General features: G+C 39.3%; 2 long non-coding RNA genes across 3 annotated transcripts in view; one reads left to right on the top strand and one right to left on the bottom strand.

The window, feature by feature from the left end:
* Positions 1-634: 634 nt before the first annotated feature.
* The window catches only part of LOC107986141 (uncharacterized), a 46,871-nt gene continuing 20,099 nt past the window's right edge, over positions 635-27,406 (bottom strand). Inside the window, exons 2-3 of one of the 2 annotated variants that reach the window (XR_001740958.1) lie at positions 5,505-6,546; positions 635-1,847 (exon numbers count right to left, since the gene is read on the bottom strand). This is a non-coding gene — a long non-coding RNA (uncharacterized LOC107986141). Of the gene's footprint in view, positions 1,848-4,554; positions 6,547-27,406 lie in introns of those variants that run through there. The other variant, XR_007096127.1, reaches the window with a different exon arrangement.
* Positions 10,254-14,307, top strand: LOC107986142 (uncharacterized). The gene is made up of 3 exons (XR_001740959.3): positions 10,254-10,886; positions 10,969-12,818; positions 13,603-14,307. It is a non-coding gene; the product is annotated as an uncharacterized LOC107986142 (long non-coding RNA).

Raw genomic sequence — 27,406 nt, 5'->3', positions numbered from 1 at the left:
CTTCAAACTCTAGTTTATTGGGAACCACTTAAAATTGACATAATGTTCTTAAGTGGAGATTCAGGGGTGATGCTGTGATTCTGTGTATTTTCTGCGGGATGCCAAGTGTGTTCTGGGGGTCATGGTAGAAAACAGAGAGGGACTTTGCCATAAATGTCTCAAGATATCCCTCTGTGAGGATAGAAGAAGTGGGGGAGATTTATTTATTTATTTTCTCTGGAGCATCCTTCATTGCCATCTTGCTAATCTCCTGAGTGCTACTGGAAACAAGGACTTTCTAGTATCACCAGCGCTGAAGCCCAACAGTACATGGGATGAAAATGGAGTAAAGTTGACTCTACCAACCTATCCACCTAAGAGAAACCAGCACGTGGATGAATGGATGTCACAGCCTGGAGCAAACTCTTAGACTTGTGTTCTCCAATAGGTGAGCCACTAGAGCCACAATTGGCTGTGAGCATTCAAAATTTGGTCAGTCCAAATTGAGATTGAGATGTGAGTGTAAAATATGCACTAGATTTCAAAAACAGTTAAAAGAATGTAAAATAACTCATTAATATTTGCTTATTAATTACATGTTGAAATAATATTTTGTATATATTAAGCTAAAATATGTTATTAAAATATATTTACTTGTTCCTTTTTTAATTTGGTAACTTGAAAATTTAAGATTACATATGTGAGTTATGTTATATTTCTGTTGGACAGAGTCTAAGGCTTAACACCACCAATGGACAGATGTATATCCTGGTCTTGACAGAACGCAGAGCTTGCAGGAATTTGTTTCTTTTTGTATGAATCATGCCAAGTGGTGTATAAATGCAGTTTTATTGTTTGTGTAATAGCCCTCTGCACATCCAGAGAGTCTTTTTATCTGAAGATCTCAAACATTAATTAATTCTCACTGAATAGCTGAGGAAGGCCACTGTGTGCACGCGTGGCCTTTCCTTGGTGTATGCGCAAGTAAAGAGAGTAGTGTCTCTTCTTATAAGGGCAGTAATCCCATAGGACCAGGGGCCCACTCTCAAGACCTCATTTAACCCTCATTACCTCCCAAAGTTCTATTTTACAGATGAGAAAACTGAGGCATTGGGGAGATTTAAATAATTTGCTTAGGGCTACCTAGAGTAGGGTGGCAGAGCTCAGAATAGAGAATATGAGTAATATGAGTCATTGTAAATAATCACACATCTACCAGCAAATAATACCTTTTTTCTCCAATCAGGTGAACTCCATCAAGGTAGGAACCATGCTTTTAATACTATTAATACTATTAATATTTCCAACTAGTAAAATACTGAATGTGCAGTGAATATTACAAAATAGTACAGTAATAGTCATTGTTATCAGATCTAATACCTTTTGGCATTAACTATTAGATAAAGTACAAAAGTGGTAAATACATGGTCTTTTTAATTGTATGCAATTTTTCAAATGCCGTCTGAGGGAAGGAATCATTATTATCTGTTAGTTTGAAAGCAGACAAGTAAATCCCACCTTTGATTAGTTCACTTGTTTTTAAAATTTCATTTCCTACTTTGAAGAGAAGACATTGCAAGCAAAAGCATGTTGCTCCAGATTTGGATTCCAGACTGGCAGAGGAAGGACGAAGCTTTGAAACTCTGGTGCTCTTAGTAACATTCTTCTGTCATCTTCCACTTGTGATATAGCTCTCCTTTTATAAGCTCGGGCATTAGAGCTTTGGTGAGTGAATTTTCTCAAAAGAGGCCATCTTTATCCAAGTTAAATAGGGGAGGGAAGGCCATAAGAAACACACATCAGGCTTCCTGGACAAAAGCTACATGGAGCAGTTTTTCCCCCAGTCTTCACATTATTTTTTTCTTGCACTGTGTAAGAAAGAAAGAGAGAATAAAATCTGCTACTACTATGATTACATTTCCTTTGATTGAGCCTGATTGTCAATGGTACTCTAAAATACTGGGCCACTAAAGTGTACAAGTTTAGGAGTAGAAATGGGGAGTTATAGAAACCATTTATTCATTTCCTCAACAATGTGTATGTATCCTGTATTATGTATTCAAAAAATATTGATCACAAATGCATGAGTGAAAGATTTCTACATCTCCCTAATTCTGCTCCTTCTAAAAATCATTTGAATAAAGTATATTTTCCAAGAGTGGTTGAAGGATGTTAATTTTTGCCAATACACAATTGTATATACAGGGGAGTATGTTCATATAATGCCCTGTTTACTTTCATTGCTGGTACAGTTAAGCCTGATCAGTTCTCAGTGTATCATCTTGTCCTTGTGACAGGAAATATGACTAGAGTGCTGAAAGGTTTTTAATTATACTCAAGGTTACCTCAAATAATGATAGTCTACTTGTGGGCACATGTCTTAGAGGAGAATCATAGTCTGTGCTTTGTGCATGAGACAGATTCCTTCATTTCCTTTGCTTTTTGCTTGAACCGGAAAAATGGTTCAGAGAAATTCATGCATACTTCCCTGCCATCCCCACCCAGCAATGGTGAGGCTGACGCATGACGTATAAGTTAGTGTGAGGAGAGTTTCAATACCTTTGGTATCTTTGATACTCCAGGCTCAGAATGGAATAGGGGTTGGGGAGGCAGGAGTGAGTAAATGACCCCCCAAGGAAAATGCTGCAGACTCCATCTTAGAAAATCCTCTGCAATGCCAGGTGTGGTGGTTCACGCCTGTAATCCCAGGACTTTGGGAGTATCACCTGAGGTCAGGGGTTCGAGACCAACCTGGCCAACATAATGAAACTCTGTCTCTACTAAAAATACAAAAATTAGCTGGGCGTGGTGGCACACACCTGTAATCCCAGCTACTCAGGAGGCTGAGACAGGAGAATCATTTGAACCCAGGAGGCGGAGGTTGCAGTGAGCTGAGTTTGTGCAATTGCACTCCAGCCTGGGTGACAGAGCGAGACTCTGTCTCAAAAAAAAAAGGAAATCCTTTGCACTGGATATTTTTATTCCTTCAATGCTACTGAATTCCACTTTGGCAGTGTGAGGGTGTGAGGGCAGGGGGAATAGGAAGGGTGAGGTAGGGGAGATGATATATGCATGTTGAGTCCTTTAAAAACTTCCCCCCAAATGGTCTCTGCAAATCTCATTGGTCACCATTTCCTGCCATTCAGTTTGCCCAGATGTATTTAGTTTCTGTTGTTGCAAAGCCATTCAGCACCCCACCACCAGAAGAGGGTAATATTGGTTCTAGCACATCTCTGTTGGCAGAGAAATCAGGAAGACTTTGAAAAACAGTGATCGTTTAACTTTGCAGTATAATGGATGGTTTTGTAGGCCTTTTTAGCTGACTTTGAAGTTGAGATCTTTTACACAATTAAATCTAGTTGTTATGGGTTCATGCCAGTCAGAAAGCACGAAGAGTTGTGTTTTTCAATACCTGGAGGAAAGAGGCAGTCATTGCATGGATTGACGCCTCAGAGCCCTATAGTCTACAAAAAGGTCTATAAAATCCAACCATCTTCATTCTTTCAGTAACTATGCTAAATCTGTAGTAGCTAACCTGCCAGGAAGTATTGTCTGAATGACAACTGAACAGACAGTGGGGATAATCATTCCAACTTAGATACGTATTTAATAAAGCTTATGCAAAATATAAAAAATTTAAAATGATACATTGAAGTCATGAGAATACAATCGCCTTTGAGCAGAGTTAATGAATTGATGCCATTTCACAGCAGGAGAAGTGGGGAAGGTAGGGGGAAAATAATAGACTAATGGAATTTCAGGGTGTTTGGAATTCAAGAAGCAAATGTTTCCACTTCTGATGAGCCCTCTAAGGACAATTCCTGGAACATGGCCTGCAGAAATTCTGTACAACCGCAGCCCTCTCACTTCTCCAGCAGCAGCAAGACACCACCGGGCAAGACCATGGTGCTTTCTGCCCAGGCTCTAATTCATGCCTGCAGAATAACAATCTGCTCTTGGTGCACCAAGCACAATGCAAGCCCTCTAAGCTGCCACTCATGCGGGGCCTGCTAACACTCCCGGCCCTTGTTTCTGATTCTTGGCATTGTTGGCGCAGGGAGTGTGGGGAGAGTCACATACTTCCATGCTGGGAAAGGCAGGGCCCCTGGTGGCCCAGCAAGTCATCAGACAGCCTGGGCAAGAGCAGCAGCCAGATGAGCTAGAGGGCAGCTTGAACCTCTTGGCAAACTTGCCAAACATTGAGGAATCTGGGGATTGTGGTTCCAAAAAGTCTGGTTTCTTTTGGAACCAGACTGAAGCATGAATTTGAGTTGGGGACAAGGGATCCCCCAACTCAAAAAAAAAAATCCACCTCATTAAAAATTCCTTTGGCATGGCATATTGCTACAGAGTCTGATTGTAGTGCCAGTGTCTTTCTAACACCCTTCAAATAACAGTGCTGACAAATTCCTAAGCAGCCGTCAAATTACATGATCTTGACCTGGTTGGATAAAAAGTGATGCTAGCACAAAGGTGATTGATTGAGGATTATGACAGTCAGACAGATGACACAGTGAATATTGGAAGTATTAATAGCAAGCTTATTCCTAATCTTTACACTGTAGGCAAAAGAAGTAACATGTCAAAAACACCACAGAATATTTTTATTATGGGAGGAGGCAAAACGTTCTTAAGCTTATAATGTAGTGGCACCTTATAGGTAAGACTTAAAGCCTCAAAGCTTTGTTTTAAAGCAACGACTGGTGTTGATTCTCAGTCAATTTAAAGGATGAAAAGGGCTGTAAAACTATTTTACGGTAGGAATAATAGCTACCACTTTTTAAGCACTATGTTACAGGGATTTTAAATATATTAGCTAATTTAAGCCTAATGGCAGCCTTGTCAGGTAGGTACCTTTGTCCCCAGTTTATATACAACTGCAAATTCTGAGACAAAGGATAGTTAGACAGTTCTGCCTGATCCCAAAGCCAGTGCTCTTCAATTCACTGCAGTAAGCCACCTCTCTGGAGCTGAAAGGAGACATGAAACTAGGGACATGAGATAAATGGATTTTTTTTCTCTAAAGAATTGCCATTTTTCTGGATCTTGGATAGAGCTTTATCTTGAGAAGTAACCACGCTTGCTCTTCACAGACAAGATACAGCAACATCTAATATGGAGAAAAACTGTGAGCATTTCCACTTCTGATTAATGAATCAAAACTGAACCAATAAAGTCTAGCCTTTGTGACAGTTCTTTGTCTCCTCCTTGGCCAAGAATTTCTGTACACACTGAGTCAGAGTGTCAGCACTCTCTTAACTTGGCGCACGCAACTTGACATGAGTCACCAGAAGGATTTGAAACTTCGGGTTGGAAAAAGCCACTGCTGTTAAGTTGGTACAGACAAAAATATTTGGGCGTCAACTCTTGTGTTCCTGGATATAGCTTGTTCGTTCATCTGTGTGTTGATTCATTCAATAAATATTCTAATGTACCCAATAAAATACAAAATACTGGGTAAAAAGTTTAATTAGTAAACAAACAAACAAACAAACAAAAAAAAACAGTGAAATCAAGTGTCTCACCTCAACCCCTAGTTTCTCTGTTGAGGGACAATCACTGCTAGCAGTTTCTTGGAGGATCCTTCTAGAGATATTCTAGGCATATTATGTGCCTTTCCCTTGGTTTACATAAGTGTTATTGCACCCCTGCAATAGCCTGGGCACTGATTTATGTAAAGTGATGATCAAGACTTGGGCCCTGTCCCTGAGGAGGAAATAGAACATAAACCAACTTCCACTTTATGATTGACAAGTTCCCTGATTGGAGGTACTTATAGGAGTGGTGGTGGTCTGAGTGAATCAGGATTGAAATATCAATGTGTCTTATCAGCTGTCACAAGTAAATTGTTGTTATTAATAGTGAAGTGCCAGCATTTGAAAATTATTTTTTAAAATAGGATAACATGTATTCCTGTGATAATTTCAACCTCACTTGCATCCTAATTTGCTTGTGAGACAGAAAAGTGTGGAGATTAAGCTGTTTCACTGAGAATTGTGCGTGACGCTGGACACACCCATGGTAGGTTCTCTTGTGAATGTGATCTGGTGCATATCCCAGGGAGCTGAACATTTTGTACAATCAGGGTACAAGAAGAGCATAATTTCTTCATTTTCTGGGGGACAATTAGAAAGTTTTCCCTAAATAGTATATGCTCCCATTTAGTGGGGTATGGTTTTCCTAGTTGCCTGGTTTCAAAATATTCATCCTTACAATGGAAGGGAAGTCAGGAAGTGATAAAACCTCCCATCTGGATTGAATACAGTTTGGGACAGTAGTTTGTGCACGGTGAGGCAGATAACACTTTGCAGATTTAGGAGACAGCTGAATCTGATGCATGTGGATGCAAGCTACTGGTAGAAGGCTTGGAGCAAATCCTTTCAATGCAGCTTGGATTTATGGGAGATTTTCAGGCGCCTGTAGGCTTTGAAGAGGCGTACAGTAGTATTTGGTTCACAAAGAGTTCACGTTTACTTCGGTTCACCTGGATTCTCACTCCCAATTGAGTTTTATTTCCAGTATGCTTGTAAACCAACTCCAGACTCGGATGCAAACTCGGCTCAATGTCTGATAGGGAGTTAAAGAGAGAAAATACAAAATGGCATAAATGAGTTTCACATGATTTCCAATCCAAGCTATGAGCTGGCTCTGGCTCGCTCAATCAGCCAGGAGCAGAAAAAGTTTTGCAAACTTCAGTGACCCTTGCAAAAAACCTGGTCTACATCCTGCCTTCAGGAGAAAACCCAGAACCGGTTAGATGTGCCCTGTTTTGGTTTCTATTACAGCTTGCCTTGCAGCCGTCCTAGGAGAGACTGTGGCCCAAGTACATTCTCCTCTTGATCTTCTAAATGTGCCCCTCTAAGGGGCAAGAAGGTTTGCTTTTATTATGGCACATAAGGCAAAAATGTGTCTTGGAATGAAGCACAGCTGAATTGCTGAGGGCAGGACTATAAAATACAATCTTTCCCAAGGATTTTCTTCCTTAGGAGCTCAAATGGCAGCCTAGCTTGACAGCAGGGGCTCTATGCTGACTTAAGTTTTTATATCATGTCAGAAAAATATAAATATAATTATCTTCCTTCGTTAAAGAACCCACAACCCAAATTTGTACAGTTAGTCAAATTTCAGTTTAAAAAATACTGAAATATGTTATTATCCTTTTAAAAGTCATCTGTACAACACTATGATATAGGGCATAAGGTTTGAGAGGGATTTTTTCTTCCTTTCTTCCTTTTTTTCCTTTCTAAGTCATATGAAGCAGAACTAGATCTGAGTGAAATCTTGCCTTTTCACGTAGTTTTTTTCCCTAGCTAAGTTAAATAAAGCACAAAAAGAGTGCATTTCCCAAGTACCTTATGAGATCCTGTCAATTTGTTTCTTCCCCTTGCTTTGAAAACCACCCCTAAAGAGATAAAATTACTTGCATCGATTCTTACAGAAAAGCAGCCAAGGTTTTATTAAAAACATTGTCCTTCGTACTCTTGCATATTTTCTTTTTCTCCCTAACATGGAAGGACATCAAATATAAAAGAAACGCAAATGTACAATACTGCCTCTTTCATCTTTGCTCAATTTCCAAAATCTTCCAACCCATCGCTTTACTTTTCTTTATTAAATTTTAAAGCCGAGCAAGTGGAATGCTGCATTTGAATTGTGAGGCTATGGGGGATGTTGGTGAGAGACTATCTGCATTGTTTCATTCAATTCTCATAAACTCTTCTCACCCTGTATTGGGATTGGCGAAATACTTTTATACCTTGGGGAAGATGTTCAAACTAATTGGTTTCCTATAGAACTCAGGATTCTGGAAGCTCATGATGCTTGATGTGACTGGATTCTTTAGTAATTAAAAAAAAAAAGATGAAAAAGTGTCATTGATACCTGGTTGAATATACAAACTTTAAAAACAAGTTCAGAGTTTTCTCTCAAATGCATACAGTGTATTACAGAGTATTTCTTGGAAGAGCAATCCTCTGAAATACACATGAAAAATAATTTGATGACTAAAAAATAATGAAAAAATGTGTGATGATCTGGATTTCTTGCTTTTTAAAATTTCCAGCTTGATAGCGTTCACTAAAACATGTCCTTTTGAAAAGCGATCTCTAAAAGCCATAGTCATGAAGCAGACTGGCAAAATAAAGGCAAAATATCTGTGATAAGTTAAATGAAAAAAAAAATTCAAAATTTTATCTTTTTTTAAAAAGACTAAAAGGAAACACATCAAAAGAATAGCCTAGAATTACTTGTCATATTTTTCTTTTTTCTATTTTCATTCTTTCTGCAATTTGGAATAATTACCTTTCTAACAACAATAATACAAAGATCAGCTATAGTCCTTATATTTTTAGTGGGTCTGATTTATCCTGGACTGCCCTGTGCTTGGAGATGCAGACCTCTGATTTTTTAAAAATATGTGCTTTAAACACAGAATAGCTTATCAGAAACTGTAATTGTGTTAGATAAAATCTCAGCCCTAAAAGAAAACAGTACTGTACGTGCCAGGATAAGCATTTTGAAACCAAATGAATAACTGAGGTTATTAGTTCAACGATGAGCACACCTGAGTTTTGAGACATATGACCCAATAGCATATGGTGAAATCCTGGATCCACAGAGAGTGTCTCATATTCACTAAACTCATCAGAATGAGCATTTAGTTCCTCTAAAGCAAGGTGCAATAAATCAGGGGAAAGCTGCAGATCCTGTCAGACCTGCTTGCATTCCTTTCCCCTCAGTGATTCCTTAGTTCAAGAGGGTTCATCCTTTGGGAATGTTTTAACACCCTTTGAAAACAGTGCCAAAGTCCAGGGCTTTGACGGCTTGATAAAACCTTATTTTAGGCCAAGTGCGGTGGCTCACGCCTGTAATCCCAACACTTTAGGAGACCGAGGCGGGCGGATCACCCGAGGTCAGGAGTTCGAGACCAGCCTGACCACCATGGTGAAACCCCGTCTCTACTAAAAATACAAAATTAGCCGGGCATGGTGGCGCATATCTGTAATCCCAGCTACTCGGGAGGCTGAGACAGGAGAATCGCTTGGACCCGGGAGTTGGAGGTTGCAGTCAGCCGAGACTGCGCCATTGTACTCCAGCCTGGGCAACAAGAGCGAAACTCTGTCTCAAAAAACAACAACAAAAAAAAACAAAAACAAAAACAACAACAACAAAAAACACACCTTATTTTATCCTGAGATGGAGAAAAATCAGCCTCTGGGAGGGGCTAAATTATCAAAGGCAATGCCATGTAGCAGCAGTAAGTTAACTAGCAGATCTTGGAGAGATGAGAGCCCCTTTGAACTTGCTGGGAAGTTTAACAGCGAGAGTGGAGATTCCTGGGAGAATATCTGTTACCAAAAGACGATAAAGAACTAGTAAGTAGCTTTCCAGCTGGATAAAAGACAGGAGATAGAATCCATCCGGCTGCAGATCCGTGTTTAATTCTTGCACTGGGGGAGGGAGTGAATGCATAGAATTTATGGGATGGCGTTGAAAATATAATAGATGCCCAAACAAGAAGTTGGGCAGATTCATTTTTCTTTTGTATTATGGACCGGAATTTAAAATGTCAGTTTGAACAGGGAATTAATTGGACTTGCTGGGATGACAAGTCATGAGCCCTTAGGGCAACTGGTGATTTACCGATGCCAAGGCCAGCTCTCTTCCTGGGGACTCTCTTTGAAGTCAGGGGATGTTGGGAACACAGGGGGTGAAGGGAGGAATGGAAATTAGGGTGAGAACGGGCTTTGTAGTGGTATCATTTCTCCAAAACAATCTAGTGCTTTTCCCTTCTTCATTCATTCAGCAAATATTTCATGACCTCTCTGTGCCTGGCACTCTGCTGGCATTTGGGATTCAAAGATGAATACAGGAGAATTCATTGCTTAAAGAGTCTGGAGGTAATTTCAAACACTGACAAATTTCCTCTTCCTATTCTTATTAAGAGGAGCAGCCTGGAAGATGCATTGCCCTGTATTTCTATAATCTTATGTCTCTAATTTAAAGACATTTCAAATTTCATATAATTTTACTCTTTTTAGTAAAGGCAATTCATTAAATACATAAGATGTTATTTGAAATGCTTTTTTTTAACCAAATAAACTCATTTATTAAAAAAGAAAATCCCCCAAGTCAGACAGAGTTTTCATTCTGATTTTGTTGTTGTTGTTTTGGTAGAGACAAGGTCGCACTATGTTGCCCTGGTTGGTCTTGAACTCCTCAGCTCAAGCAATCCTCCCACCTCGGCCTGCTGAAGTGCTGGGATTACAGGCATGAGCCACTGTGCCCAGACTAATTGTTGTTTTTTAACAATATAGTTTCTATATTGATTTCACAAGCCTCCTTTTCCATGTGTTGAAATCCATGGATTGTATTAGAAAGACATTTGACCTATTGGGGGAGATAGATTATTATTGTTTTTAAATCAATTAGACATCTAGCTAGGCTGAAAACAACCACTAAAAGGTTTTCGTTTGTTTACTTGTTTTTGCCTGGCAGCCATACCACCAAAGTACAAAGGCTTGTTTAAAAAAAAATCTGTTTTGCCTATCTAAACCTCTCTAAAAGGAAGGAAATAAAATTTTGTAACTTTCCAAGAAGTGAAAACCAATTAACATTTTAAAGTCACATTACACTCATAACCTCTAATACATTATTTTCAGAAGAGCCATTTCTGCTGAGTCAGAATATAAAATAGGATTCAAATACCTATTTCCTTAATAGATTTAAATGACTGTGACTAACAATCTCAATATTTCTTGTTTTATGGAAAAATTTTAGTTTCTCAAGGATCCCATGGGGATTGGACATGATGGTGTTTAAGGGCCTCTAACGATCCCTGCCTTGGATATGTGTAGTCCCCTCCCACACTGCATCAGGATTGGTCTGTGAATACGGCAGAAATGATGGTATGACTTTTCCTAGGCTAGATCACAAAAGACCTTGTGGCTCCTCTCTCTCTCTTTCTCATACATACATCATTCCATCCAGGGGAAGCCAGATGCTGTGTTGTGAGGACAGTCAGGCAGCCCCATGGAGAGGCCCATGTGGCAAGGCATTGAGGACTTCTGCCAATAGCCATATGAATGACCATCTTGGAAGTAGGTGCTCCAGCCCTGGATAAACCTTCAGATGACTGCAGCCCCTGCTCAGAGCTTGACTGCAACCCCATCAGAGACCCTGAGCCTGAGACACTCAGCTAAGTCACTCGGAGGTTCCTAACCTACAGAAACTGTGTGAAATAATAAATGTTTATTGTTTTAAGCCGCCAAGGTTTTGGGGTAATTTGTGATGGAGTAACAGATAACTAATACAAAGACCCTTTCAAAAGTGAGATTAATTGATTCTCTGATTCTCATACCACACTGGTAATAGCTGCCATGTGAAATATTCTTACTGGAAGCCATGGGAAGTTTTAAATCTCTCCAGATTCCTGCACATTGCTTGCATTAATTAATACATATACCTGTGTATATCCATATATACAAAGTTAATGCATTTTTTTCTAAACATTTTTTGAAATTTATTTTCAATTTTAAAGACAATATATGCTTATTAAAGAAAATGTGAGGGGAACGTTAAAAAAGATTACCCATAGTTCTAACACCCATAGTTCTAACATCTATAGTTAGCACATTTGAGTGTACTTCTCTATATTTTCTTTCAGGGTGTTTAAAAAAGTACTTGTGATCATATGCTGTATAACCATATTTTCACCAAGTCAAATCCACTTCCTTTAAAGGCAGAGCCCAATAATGTGCTTTGCTCATCCTTGTCATTCAGCTCCCTGCTCCGAGTGACAGGTTCTCAGAGAAATCAGATGCAACTATGTCCTTAGCGTGCAGATGGCTCATGAGGGTGTCATGTGTTTGGAGCCAGGCCCTGGCAGGGAGTGACCAGTGCCCGGGGTGCCAGACACATGGAAGATGATTTACATCAACAGGCAGTTCCCTCTGTGCATATTCTTTTTATTTTCAGTACTAACATCTGTGTGAAGGGCCAACCCCTGTCCCCCACTAACTTATATTTATATCCACAAATTTCTTATGGGAATCAACACTCCCTTATTCTCTGCTCTTCATAGAGGGCTGCAATGCTGGCAAAGTGTAGGCATCAGGACCCTCTCCAAGGCCCTGAGAGGGGTTCTACAAAATGTTCAGATGGTTATACGTTTTTGCAAAATTTGCAAAAATAAAAAACTTGAATCACAATTGGTTAAGACTGCTACATCTTTCCACTCTGCCCCATCCCCGAACCCAACACACATATACTTTCCTTTATGCAGGGTGGTGCTGAGTGGTCATGTGAGAGCATTTTATTGTTATGATTTTTTTTTTTTAACAGAGCCTGAAAAATTGTGTAAGTTCCAGGACTTAAAAACCTGGATATACCTCTTTGTCTCTGAATTGCAAATATATACATAATATATTTTTAATATAAATATATATCTGTGGTATTTATATATATATATTAACAGCTTTTTCAATTGCTTTGTACTGTGAACATAATTTATTATTTGCTAGCCTTATTTGTTAAGTCAGAGGAAATTTCAGAGCCATGAGGGTTACAGAATGAGAGGATTTCTAATGAGCTCAATGTGTTCTAAATGGTTTTATGTGATTCCCAGGTTTGCTTCATCAGAATCCATAGGTTCTCAAGTGGCGCTCCTCCTTGTGCTCGCAGAACCCCGCTTATTGACTCTACAGATACTTTTTGCAGAAAATGGCTGCCTCTTTGCTGTCTACTGTGACTCTTCAACTAGGAAAGAACCAAATAGATTTAACCTACTCAACTCGACACTTCTGAACAAAAAAGAATGCAGAATATATAGCACCAACCAGGTGAGTGTTCCACTCTATAAAAGACTGTGCTGCTCTCTGAATGTTTATTCATTTTACTTGTTGATCAGAGGAATTTATCCTTCTTTTAAAAAAACTTTTGAAATTTTAAAATCAAATCAGTGCCTGCTGTAGCAGCCAGGAAAATATGATCTTCAGATGTCCCTTTAAGAGGACCTGCGGCCGGGCGCGGTGGCTCATGCCTGTAATCCCAGCACTTTGGGAGGCCAAGGCAGGCGGATCATGAGATCAGGAGATCGAGACCATCCTGGCTAACACGGTGAAACCCCATCTCCACTAAAAATACAAAAATAAATAGATAAATTAGCCGGGAGTGGTGGCGGGCGCCTGTAGTCCCAGCTACTCGGGAGGCTGAGGCAGGAGAATGGAGTGAACCTGGGAGGTGGAACTTGTAGTGAGCCGAGATCGCGCCACTGCACTCCAGCCTGGGCGACAGAGCGAGACTCCGTCTCAAAAAACAACAACAAAAACAAAAAAAAACCTGCTGTGGGGCACATAGCAGAATGACAGCCCCTAGCTGCCACATCTTTGGATATACTGCGGCATTCATGCTGAGCCATAGCCCTCTGGGCTGCTCCCAGCCAATGACTGAACACTGAAGTGGTGCTAGGATGCCAGCGCAGGCCCATCCTCCCTGACACAGAACTCTGCTAGTGGGCAACTTTTGCTTAGACACTCCCTATCAGCTCGGCAAGTCTTTCTCAGAACTGCTCTGGGTTCCCAGGCTTTTCCTATCCAGCCTTTCCTTGCCCTTCTCTCTTCACAGGTGGCAGACCTGATCTCAATCCCAGCTTTCTCCCTGTCCACTCCTGCTTCCTCCTCCCTTTATCCTTCACAGGCTAAGCATTAAACATCAAGTAAGTAAACATCAGGTCCCATCTAAGCATCGGCTTCTATGAGCATCTGAACGGACATACGTACTCACTGTTAAAAATGAGCAAATCCAGAAGGGCATATACGAAGAAGCCACAGTTCCTCCCCTTATTCTCTCCTGCCCTGCATTTCCTCACATGAGGAAACACTTTAAACAGTTTCTCTTATAGCTCTTTGACAGTTAGTTCCATACTCCTAAAATAAGTTTATGCCATGCTTATTATTTATTTGATATATATTTTAGATATTTGTTATATACACATAAATATATGTAATATATTTGTTATCTTTTTCCATAATATGTTTATGCCATGTCTTTCTTTTCTTTTTTAACCATTGAAGTATAATGGACACAAAATAAACTGTTTATTTTTAATGTGAGCAGTCTGATGAATTTTGACATTTATATATGCCACAATCAAGCTATTAAAAAGGGCAAGGGGAAACTTTTCAGGGGTGAGCATATTCATCATCCCTGAAAGTTTCCTCATGCTCCTTTTAATACCCCCACCACCTCTCTCCATACTCTCTGATCTGTTTTCTGTCACTATAAGTTAGTTTTCATTTTTCAATTTTAAATAAATGGAATCTTATAGTATGTGGTATTGTTTTTCTGGCTTCTTTCGCTCAGCATAATTAATCTGAGATTCAACCATGTAGTTGCATGTACCTAATTCATTCTTTTTTGTTACTAATATATCTCATTGTATAGATACAGCATGATTTGTTTATTCATTCATCTTTTGGTGGACATTTGGGTTGTTTCCAGTATGGGGCTATCACAAATAAAGTTGCGATGAACATTTTTACACAAATGTTTGTATAGATTTACATTTTCTTTTCTCTTTCCTTTCTCAGAGATCATTGTTCTTCATCATGGGGCGTCCAAAGTCCTGAGCGCCGTTGTTTCATATATTTTATCTGGTATTTTAGTTGTTTCAGGCAGGACGGTAAATCTAATCCTTCTTACTCCATTCGACTGGAAGTGGAATTATCACATACCTCTTTAGCTAATCGTAGTCTCCCTTTGAGTGATCCAATACCACTTCATGTGTAGTGTATGAACCCCCAGTATGCCTATTTTTTCCCTCCCAGCCTTTGTGCTATGATTGTCATACATTTTGCTTTTACTTGTTATAAACTCTTCAATACATTATTACTTTCCTGTTTCTTTAGTCAACAAGTTTAGACATTATCTGCTGATTTCTATAATGTTGGCTATGGATTTAACTCACTTATCTTTCATCTTCCAAATCTGGCCTTTCTTTCCTCCACTTCCCCATAAATTGCCACTAGTTTTAGATTTTTTCTGCTATTAACCGTTACCTGTGTAACTACAAAAAATACACTCACATCCTTACTTCTAATTCCATCAACCATTTGACAATACCTCTTAATTCTTTGATTTGTGAGGTGAAAGTATGAAAGCCCTTACCCTTTCCTTCATTTCTTGATTCCTCCTAATCTCAACCAAATGCTTAATTTTAACTTATGTTTTCAAGAAAAAAGAAAACAAAAAACATGAACCTCATTCTGCAACTACCCCTAAGTCTTCCTTTTTAGGCTAACCCCGTGGGTTGATTCTAAGAGTTGAAAATTGATCAGCAGTGATTACATTATGACTATGTAAAGATTGTTCACTTCTTAGCTGCATAAGATACTATGATTTTATATCTTTTTTTCATAGCTTTGTGATTTTCTTGGAATTTCTAATTATTTCCTCCTCTCCATCCCCATCTTTTGCATTACTGTGATTTTTTTTACAACTTGATATTTCAATTTCTTAAAGATAGCACCAAATCTGTGGATTACTTCAGCTCATATACATTTTTTTTTCCAGATACCTGCCTTTTAAAACCCTTGTCCCGCCAGCTCCAAGCTGGACTTTTCTTCTCTAGATTTATTGAAAAGCTAAAATGGAAGAGACAATTAAGCCATGTCTTCCTTCCATTTTTCTCTCGTTTGGCTTGTTTCTTTAACTCCCTATTTTTCTCTTTTTTGGTTTACTCTCTTGTTTTATTGGAACACATCCTTGAATCACTTCTATAAGAAAGGTATATGGGAGGTAAACTTACTAAGTCCTTCCATGACTTAGAATAACTTTATTCTACTCTCCAATTATACTGATAATTTGATTGAATGTTGACTTTTTCATTTAAAATCATTTTTCCTCAGAACTTTGAAGGCAATGTTTCATTGTCTTCTAGAATTCAGTATTGCTGAAAAGTTAGATGACAATCTGATTTTTTGGGAAAAAAAGGCAATTTTTTTTTTGCTTTGAATGTTTTTTGGATTAAAAAATCTTTGATATTCTTAAATTTCACCATTCTGTGACTGAATATGGGTCATTTTTCATTCATTTTGTGTAGTATTCTAGTATTTTCTTCCTCCTTTTTTTCTTCAGTCTAAAGACTCAGGTCTTTCAGCTCTGATAAATTCCCTTTTAAAAATTTGTTTGTATTCTCTCATTGTGTTTGTTTTTTTTGGAGCTTCTACTCACTGGACATTAGCCTCCTGGATTTGTACATTACAATTTAGGCTTTTTTTCACATTTTTAAACTACTTGTATTTTCTACTTTCTTGGAGATTTCCTTGATTTTATCTTTTAATCAATTTATTAAAACTTTGCTTAAATCACTATACTTTTAATTTCTAAGAGGTCTTTCTTATTTTGGGTCAATCCTTTTTTATAGTATCCAGTTCTTGAATTATAATCTTAATATTTTTAAATTCTGTCAGAGAATTCTTATAGTTAAAATATTATTTTTTAGTATGTATTCTTAAAATGTGCAAGTTTGTGTATATCTTGCATGGGTAATGAGTGTGGACATGTCCATGGACATACATTCCTCAAGGGTTGGTATTTAAAAAATCTACTAAGAGATTATTTTTCCTTTTGGTAGAATGCAACTTTCTTCAGTGTAAGTTGAGTTTTCAAAATATGGAGTTCACATGTTCAGAATATGTACTTTCTCACTTAACTAGACCAACTGCTGCATTGAATTTGCTTTAGAGAAATTTGTTTTTCTTCTCTCAAAAATTCGGGAGTTCTTTTCTTTTTTATTGTATATTTATATCTCGCATGTCAGTTGATGATCTGAAGCCAAGGGACCAATACTGGGTAATGTATGACCAGAGCCAGATGAGAATACTTAGTAGCTGGGACAGAAACTCTCGCAAGTGTTTAGAAACTGATGTCCTCTCAGAGCAGTCCTGGGATGTAGATGCAGTGGGAGGGCAGGGGAGAAAGGTCATTAATCTGGTAATTGACCCTTTCAGCATCTGCTTTCCTCCAGATATACTAGTTGGGTGATCTAATTGCATGGTTGTTCAGAGTTTTAAAAGTATATGCAAATTGATAAACTATGCACCAAAATAGTAGCCATGCTTATTTCTGGGTTTCAGGATATGGGGTGTTATCTTTCCTTTAAAAAAATATATATCTGGCCAGGTGCAGTGACTCACGCCTGTAATCCCTGCACTTTGGGAGGCCAAGGTGGGCAGATCATGAGGTCAGGAGTTTGAGACCAGCCTGGCCAACATAGTGAAACCCCTTCTCTACTGAAAATACAAAAAATTAGCTGAGCGTGGTGGTGGTCGCCTGTAATCCCAGCTACTCAGGGGGCTGAGACAGGAGAATCTCTTGAACCCAGGAGGCGGAGGTTGCAGTGAGCTGAGATTGCGCCATTGCACTCAAGCCTGGACGACAGTGCGAGACCCCGCCGCAAAAACAAAAACAAAAAATATATCCTTATTTCTAAATTTCCTACAATGAACATAACTTATGTAATAAGAAAATAATTTATTTTTAAAGTGTATGTATGAAGCTTTCTTCTGAATCTCCATTTACTATGTTGAAAGTAGCAAAAAAAAAAAAAAAGTAAGTAAAAAAATAAATTTTAACTCTAGAGCTAATGACTATACCTGAGATGAAAAGACTAAACTCCTTCAATGGAGAGGGCCAAGAATGTGATAGAGAAAGGGGAAGGAGAGTGGGTAAAAATATTGGTGGGGAGGATATACAGAAGGAGGTGGGAGCAGAGAGAAGAGGCCTCAGGTATATACTCTTCTGCCCTTCTCAATGCTGACAAATGGTGGAATCATGACTTTGGATATAGTCTGGATTTGCAGATGGAATATAATTGAAATTGGACAGCTGAACTTTCAGTACTACTGTGGTGGAAACTCATGAGGTAGGTTTCTGCCCTGGTATAATAATTCAGAAATAAGTTACACATGTGGTTGGATGGTATGTGCATCACTGACTGCCCGTTTAAACAGGCAATATTCAGATCACCCATACCACCCAGGCAGCCTCTGCTTTGAAGAGGGCTTTTGAGAGAAGGCTGGCTTCTCCCTACTGAGGATCTATTCATTTGTAAAATCAACAAATGCAATGGGACCTGTACTGAGATTTTTACTCAGAGGCCAGAGTTTAAAATGCTGTCAGGATTGAACGGAATGTAAAAACCACATCACCACAGAATTGCATTAATGAATGATCTGGAAGATGGACTGAAAGTAAAATTTTGATGTACTCTCAAGAGAATGAGAGCAAAACATTGGAATACAAAACTGACTTTTGTATTCTCTCTTTGTTAAAAGGAGGATAAATGTTATCCATTAGAAAGAGTCCATTCTTTTTTGGGAATCCCTATAATTCAGGAATTTGCATCCATGGGCATTATTGAGAAATGCCAGTGTTTAGAAATCTTGTGCCTTGAACAGCTTGTTGGGCTATATTTTAGTATGTTTGAGTCACACAACGACCAACTGACCTAAGAGACTTATTTTAAAATTCTAAGCCTGGAGTATCTAAGAAGACTTTGAAACCAACCCCTAACTTTAGGGGAGGTCAAATTTAATAATCGCAAAATCAAACTACAATCTTATATTGTATAACTGACTTAATGATTACTGCTAAAAGTGAATTAACAATACCTAACAATAAATCAAAGGACAAATACTAACTGTGATATGCCTCTCAATATACGACATACCTGTCAAATTGAGTCACTTTCAAGCTTATCATGAGTGCAATGACTTGTTATGTCTTGTCATACCTTTTTAAAAATATATACTGTCAGTGTCAGGAACTGTGGCTTCTTTTGTTTTTCTGTATTCTGAGAGCAAGGGTTGCAAACCTCCCACTCTCCAGCCACTCCCCCAAAACACACGAATATACTCAAACAGCATAATTTTTATTGGCTTATTCTTAAGGGTGATATCTTAACATCTTGGTGTAACAAGAGTTTCAGAAACATAATAACACCAGCTAATGTTTTTGTGTGCTTGCAGTGTGCCAGACAGTCTTTTAAATGCTTTACTTGTATTAATTTATTTAATCCTCACAGCAACCTGATTAGATAATATGGTCATTATGGATTGAATTATGTCCCCCCCACACACAAAAAGATATGCTGGAGTCCTAACCCCTCAATACCTCAGAATATGACCTATCTGGACATAGAGCTTCTACAAGAGTAATCAAGTTAAAATGAGGTCACTAGGGTAGATCAGGCACATGTAGATGGAAGATGACCAGAAGAGACACTGAGAGAAGATGCCATCTATAAGCGAAGGAGAAAGGCCTAGAACAGATTCTTCCTTCACAGCCCCCAGAAGGAACCAACCCTGCCTACACCTTAATTCAGATTTCTAGCCTCCAGAACTGTGAGATAAACTTCTGTGAAGTCATCTAGTTTATGATACTTTGTTACAGCAGCTCTTGTAAATGAATATAATTGTACTATTATTGTTGTCCCCATTTAAAAGTTGAGGAAACTGAGGGCAGAAAGGTTAAGTAACAAGACTGAAGTTTGGCCTGGTGTGGTGGCTCACACCTGTAATCCCAGCACTTTGGGAGGCTGAGGTGGGTGGCTCACCTGTCACCTGATATCAGGAGTTTGAGACCAGCCTGGCCAACATAGTGAAACCCGATCTCTACTAAAAATAGAAAAAAATTAGCCGGGCGTGGTGGTGGGCACATGTAATCCCAGCTACTCGGGAGTCTGAGGCACGAGAATTGCTTGATCCCAGGAGGCGGAGGTTGCAGTGAGCTGAGATCACGCCACTGAACTCCAGCCTGGATGACAGAGCAAGACTCTGTCTCAAAAAACAAAACAAAGACTGAAGTTTATGGCTAGTAAATGGGATGAAAACTCAGTCTGCTTCCAAATTCTGTCTTCCTAAATGGCTAAGGTATTTGACCTCTCTAAATTCAATTATTGTAGACATTGCTCTTGGTTCCAACTCTCCCTACCAACCTCTTTCCACCCAGTGCAGGGCACAGTTATGATGAACCATTGAATAAAGTGAACCTGAAATGAAACAAAACAAAACAACAACAAAATAACATAACAACATCAACAACAAAACATCTAATACATATAGTGAGCCCTAGTATCGGGCACTTATTATGATCAGGAACTGACAATATAAAGATAATATTATTCTGGTCTCTGTTCAAGACCTCACACCTTACAAGGGGAACATGCTCCTTACTTAGGGTGAGGGAGCCCCACAGGGGTGCATAGCAGAGAGATGAGTCAGTTTCACCTAGGAAGAGGCAAAGACCTCTATGGAAAATACCCCATGTAGGAGATAACCTTGAGTTGGGCCTTGATAAGTGGAAAGAATTTGATAGATGGCTAACTAGAGAAATGTTTGTAAATAGATTCATTTTGGTGAATGTAGTTGGATATGTAGGATTAGTAGCTCTAATTTTAAGAATATATGAATGAAAAAGCAACACTGGAGCTCTAGGCAATTGCTTGGCAAGGCTACTTTTATCAAATGAGAGAAGAGCTATAGACAGTAGATAGTTTCTACTTTTCACAGTTATACTCCAATGGCCATTGGCTTAAAGTTTAATAAACCTGCATGACCTAATGGAAGAAAGACTTGGGAACCTTAATTGGATTCTCAGGGGCAGTTGAATCTGTACCAGTTGAAACTGGGATCAGTAAGGGAGGCTGATTAAAGTCTCAGGGTCAGGGTAATATTGAAGCTGGAATATAATCTGGAATATAGTTGTGTTTTGTTTGACCTTCACAGTATTGGCTAACACTGAATGAACAGCTTCCTCATAATATTAAAAATTTCTGTCTTCTCCTAAAAATATAAATCAAAAGACCTGGCAATATTGGGCCTGCGTTTCTATAGGGGCTTCCTTTGTGTATTGGTCCAGGTAGGCTATCCTATCCTGTCCTAACAAGAGACCCAAACCTGTAATAAATCATCAGAGGAATACATTGTTTTTTATTCATATGAAAATCCATGTGTCAATGTAATTTAGGTAGCTTTTCTTTGAGTGATGACCCAGGAACCTAGACTTCTAATCTGTGGCTTTGCTGTATTTGTTGCATTGCTCTCAAGATCTCCTGTGGTATCTTTTTCACTTCAGCAGGGGGAAAAGAAAGAGTGAATAACTGAGTGGGAGATTTTTCATGGACCAGGCCTGGATTGAGCACTCATTCCTACTATATACATTCCATTGGCCAGAATTCAGTCACATGGCCCTAACTAATTATAAGGAAACCTGGGAAATATAGTCTAGCAGGAAGAAAAGGAAACAGAGTTTGTTAAGCACGTAGCAACCACATATGTATTCTCCAGCTCACCATAGCTCCTACTCAGACTTCTTCACTAATTTATCTACCTAGCTTCTGTAGGCATTTGAGTTTGCAATTCCCAGTTTAGGTATTGAGAATTGTAGTAGAAATTACTCAGATTTGGAGTTAGACAGACCTGTTTGAAAATTAGTTGGCCACAGTATTGCTTAAGATAATAGGGTCTTAAGACAGACCAAAACATAGTTGCTTAAATGAGATAAAAGAAATACTCCCCCACATAGAAGTCCAAGTTGATAGTGATTCTAGAATGGAGGGCAGCTCTACCACTGAGGTCATTCAGAAATCCAAATTCCTTCTATCTTGTTGGTCTGCCACCCCTAAAGTGTGGTTCTGGTCCATGTGATTGGACCAGGTGGTTTACTTTCAACACTAGTGGGAAGAAGGAAACAGGAACTGGAGGGCATGACCTGGAAGTTAATCACATCCTTTCCTTCTGTTCACATTCCATTAACCAAAATACAGTCACCTGTCCCACAAAGCTGCAAGGAGATCTGAAAAATGTGACCATTTGCTGGGTAGGCATGTGCTAAGCTATAATTTGGAAAATTCAGTTACTAAGAGAAGAATGAGGGAAAACTATAAATAGATCACAGTCACGTACTATTTGTGTGGCCTTGAAAAATAATAAAAATAAACAGAGGTTCAGTTTTCTTATATAACAAGAGATCTGAAGGTGGGTTGTTGTTTATCAGGCTAATAATGTTTGGGAAAATATTTCACTGAATTTTCTTTTGGCTTTTCTCTCATGATTCCAAGATAGTTGTTCAAGTTTCAATCATCACATCCAAATTCAGGTAAAGAGGAAGATGAAAGATGTACCAGTTGCATCTTTCACATTTATCAGGAAAAGCAAACATCTTCGCAAACTCCCAAGGCATTCAGTGAGTGACAAATACATATTATCTCAAAAGAGTTACTTATTTATTCTTTTTTGTTTCCTTTTCAGTTAACACGTAATTTTACATATTTATGGGCCAGAAAGTGATATTTCAATCCATGTATACAATGTGTAATGATCAAATTATAGTGATTAGCATGTCTATTTTTAATCATTCTGAACCTCAGTTTTCCCATCCATTATATGGGATGCTAAGTCCTAACTCATGGAATTGTTGTGAGAGTCAATGAAATAATATTGTTGTCTAGAACACTGCCTGACATATGATAGATGCTCAGTGAAGGGAAGAACTTATTATTTCAGGCAGTGAACCTTGACAGTTCTGTATTTGAATCCACATGACCTTGATTAAGTTGCTTACCTTCTTTGAATCTGTTTCCTCATCTTGAAAGATGGGGATAATTGTATCTTCTTTTTACAGAGCTGTTGTGAAGATTAAGTGGAGTTACATATATTAAGCACCTGGCTCACAGGAGCAACTCTTTTAAAGTTTAAGCAGGAGCCATCCTGAATTTACTTGGAGTGAGTAGGAGAGAACAGGAGATGCTGGGTATATGTTGCTGAGATAGCTTTTCCCAGCACACTCACGGAAGGATGGGGTTGTGTAAACATGATGACTATAGCAAAACACCAATAGGGAGGGATGATGGGAAAGCCAAACACAGGTCAGGTCAGTAAAGGAAGCACAAGTCCAGGGGCCAGTTCACTCTTCTACCTGAAGCAGAGACAGCACCAGGTGAGTTTCAACGGGGCTCTGGTTACCTTCCCAGGTGGAAGGCCAGGCCCTTCTCAATTATACAGCAGTGGGGAGCTCTGATGGTCTGGAGATGATCAGCAAACTTTGACAGGGCTCTGTCAGTGTCATCCCAACAGCCAGTTCTTAGGGCAGCAGAGGACCCAGGACAGGTCTCTGAAGGATGCCTTCTTCATCAGGGTGGCCAAGCAGCTGTGTTGGGGCAGGAGTTCATGGCAAGCAGATATGGGTGAGGTTAGCCTCATGAATTACAAAGAGGCTGAAAATGAAGGCTTCGTTCCTGGGGGCAAATTTGGCCAACACTAGAAGGAGGGCCTTTCCCCTTCATGACTCTTGGGAGGGGTTTGCTGGGGGAAAGAGACATTGAGAGGCAAGATTAAATAGCTCAGTGTTTACCCCAATCAGTTTACTCCCTACTCTTTGTCTTTCTTTCTCGCTCCCTCCATACTTTCCTTCTTTCTTTTTCTCCCTCCTTCCTTCCCTTCCTTCCCTTCCTCTCCTCTCCTTGCCCCTCCCCTCCTCACCTCTTCTCTCCTCTTTTCTCTATTTTCCTTCTTTCTTCCTCTTTCTTTCTTTCTTCTCCTTTCTTTCCTTCCTTCCTTCTCTCTTTTTCCTTCCTTCCTTCAGCTTTATTGAGATATGATTTGTGTGCCAACAATATAATTCAGTGGTTTTTAGTATAGTTGTTTGTGCAACTATCACCAATACCCACTTCCAGAACAATTTGATCACTCCAAAAAGAAACCGTGTACCTGATAGCAGTCAAATTCCCTATTCCTCTATCCCCAGCCTCTGGCAATCATTAACTACTTTATATCTCTATGGATTTGCTTATTCTGGACATTTCATGTACTTTTGTGGCTGGCTTCTTTCACTTTGTTTGAAAACCTTTGTTTTCAAGGTTTATTCATGTTGTAACATGTATCACTCCTTCCTTCTTTTTTGGTCGATGATTTCCCCTTATATGGCTATACCACATTTTATTTATCAATTTATCAGTTGATGGACAGTTGAGCTCTTTTCATCTTTCGGCTATTATGAATAACACTGCTAGAACATTTGTGTACAAGTTTTTGTGTGGACATGTTTTCATTTCTCTTGGGTATATACCTAGGAGTAGAACTGCTGGGTCACATAGTAACTATATGTTTAACCTCTGAGGAACTGCCAGACTGTTTTCCATAGTGACTGTACCATTTTGCATTCCCACCACTGTGTATGAGAGTTCCAGTTTCTCCACATCCCCTTTTGCTGGTTTGCAAAAGGAACACCAGCTGTCTGAACCAATACTTGTTATTGTCTTTTGTATTATACCCATCCTAGTAAGTGTGAGGTGGGACCTCATCGTGGTTTTGATTTGCATTTCTCTGATGACTAATGATGGTGACACCCCCACCTTTTTTTTTTTTTTTTTTTTTTTTTTTGATACAGAGTCTCACTCTGTTGCCCAGGCTGGAGAGCAGTGGTACAATCTCAGCTCACTGCAACCTCTACCTCCCAGTTTTAAGTGATTCTTCTGCCTCAGCGTCCTGAGTAGCTGGGATTATAGGCATAAGCCACCACACCCAGCTAATTTTTGTATTTTTAGTAGAGACACGGTTTCACCATGTTGACCAGGCTGGTCTTGAACTCCTGACCTCAAGGAATCCACCGACCTCGGCCTCCCAAAGTGCTGGGGTTACAGGCGTGAGCCGCCACGCCCAGCCACCCCCACTTGTTTTAAAGAGCAAGCTGAGTGGCTCCTTCTGTGGCAAATAGCATGAAGATCATACAGCTTTTGGGGAAGGCCCAACATATCCCAGAATGGCTTCTGCAAAGACACAGAGCTTGTGCTCAGTTATTTAGAGAAGGGCTAAGAAGAATTGAGAAGAAGTGTTCTGAGGTGGCTGACAATTTGCTTCTGTTCTCCCAACTTGGATTACAGAGATTTTAGTTATCTCTCCCAGGGCTGAAGGATGGTAGTTCCAGCTGTAAGTGGAAAGTTGCTCTAAAAGCCAAGGTGGTTAATATAGTAGAATATTCAATAGTGTTAAGCAGCTTCATTTGACTTTGCTGGAAACAAGGTTTATAAACAAGGTCAGGAATTCATCAAGTGCCCTAGCAAGCCTTAGGCAGAAAAGGACTTAGCATTTAGAACTCTGGTTCCCAGCTGCTTGCTGAGTTCTCCTTTTCTATGAGCACGAACTGGTAATTAAAGACCCCAAATTGCTGAAAGTTAAGTGAGTAAAGAGTTTCGTGACCATCTCCATGGAGCTAGATGAAACTGCTCCCTTCTCCTCTTGTACCTGGACACCAAGGTTATGAAGAGGCTGCATCAAGCCCCAGGGAAAGAGAGGAAATGAGTTACTTCACATTGTGTGCCCTGGTTTTTTAAAGCACTAAATTCACCTCTGCCTTCCTTGCCCACAATTCCCACTTCTCGCCCACAACTGTATAATAAAGCAGTAGACCTGAGATCTTATGAAATCTTGCCTGAAGTGCTCTTCACAGGGAATATTCTTTGAGCTAGTTCAGGGGACTAGGAAGGAAAAAGTCCTCTCCCTCTGCTTGGACAGATTAGAGAAAGATGGGAAAGGCGGGAATGCCTCCATCGATGTCTGGTAGGGAGGAACACCACAGGAAGAAGTAATACTATGTTGATTGTGTTTGAAGTGGGAGAACCTGGTATTTTCTGAAGAGCCACCATTTCAAACAGTGTTCTCATGACCCTCTGATGGTGTTTAAAAGGAGTGAGTTGAGGGGATAGAAGCTGGTTTGCAAAAGGAATACCAGGTGTCTGAATGATCTGCCCCTTTGAAATGTCTGGAATTTTCCTCTTCAAAGAACCGCTAAGTGGAATCTGGCTTTCAGATACTCTGAAAACGTCTCCAGACTTCAACAAGTTTCCCGGATTGTGTAGAGAGCACTTATGTACTTACAGGAATAATCATCTGTAACATCTATTGTACTTGGTGTCTGTTTTGGGTAAATTCCCAGCCATGAAAAGTACAAGCCATGATCTGTGGAGAAGGGAGTTGGTTGTGTCCTTTACTTTGTTGGTCAAGGATGAGGAGTACAAGTGGAAGGGGTGTTCTTAACAGGGAAGGAAATGGACTCATGCACATGCTGCAATTCAGAACCAAGAGATTTCCTGACGTGCTCGTGTGTGACTTAGGATGAAATGTGCTTGTAGTGGAAATTAAAAAAGACAGGAGATCACGCCCGTAATCCCAGCACTTCGGGAGGCCGAGGTGGGCAGATCACGAGGTCAGGAGATCGAGACCATCCTGGCTAACACGGTGAAACCCTGTCTCTACTAAAAAAAACAAAAAAAAACAAACAAAAAAAAAAATTAGCCAGGCGTGGTGGGGGGTGTTGGTAGTCCCAACTACTCAGGAGGCTGAGGCAGGAGAATCGCTTGAACCCAGGAGGCAGAGGTTGCAGTGAGCCAAGATTGCGCCACTGCACTCCAGCCTGGGTGACAGAGTGAGAGTCTGTCTCAAAAAAAAAAAAATAAAGACAGGAGAAAGTAGTCTTCTGGAGTGTTCTTGGGTAGGTGGGAGGTGAGGTGGAGAAAAAGGAAAAATGGTATTATGAGAATATATCTTTGTTCTAATGACTGGTATTCTGATGGAGAAATGAATAGCTCAATCCCCAAACTAGTGCCAGTGCTATAAATTTTCCTAGAATCAAGAATTCATTTTCAATCTAAATTATTTTTTTTTTTCCGAAACTTGTTCCCCAAACACCAACAGTTGACTCTTCTTCGGTGGTGAATGGATAAAAGGAGAAGCAGAAGAGGCAGTGGAGAGGCAGTTTGTAATACTAGTATAGTCCAGAATCCAGAAATCAAAGACTTTTCTGGTTATCCCTCTATTATAGTTAATTCTTTTGGATTCTTAGAAGGATTAAGATAATCTATATGAAAAGGTTTCTTTATCAAACTCACCTGGTTAATCTACTTGCTGGAGAGAATCCATAGTCTCATTAAAAGTTAATAAGTTCTTAGGCTAAAAATTGGAGTGTGTGTAACATATTTGTAACATTTAGCAGAACTATGTGGGAGGTTAGAATGCTGTAACCATACTGATTCTTTAAAAATAAAATGATTTACATGCCAAGTTGATATAAAAGCATTCCTCTGAATGAATACAAAAAAACATGTAGTATTCTGTGTAAGAAGCTCTGTAACTGTTTGGTAAAGCATTTTTTTTCACTGAGGATAGAATCATTAATGTATACATTTTCCACTGAAATCCAAGCTATTTTATTTTGGAGGTGAGTTTTGAAAAATTATACAAATTTATATAGTTAGCAATGTATACTTAGAAATAATAAAAAGGAATATTAAATTGCTTGTATATGTTTATTATAACTATAATCAGTGACCATAGTTTTAAAACCAAAAGCAGGGCACATAGTTTGCCAAACA

The sequence above is a fragment of the Homo sapiens genome, chromosome 3 (genome assembly GCF_000001405.40).
Source record: "Homo sapiens chromosome 3, GRCh38.p14 Primary Assembly".
NCBI lineage: Eukaryota > Metazoa > Chordata > Mammalia > Primates > Hominidae > Homo > Homo sapiens.
The sequence above is the reverse complement of the archived record's forward strand: the minus strand, read 5'-3'. Positions and strand labels throughout refer to the sequence as shown.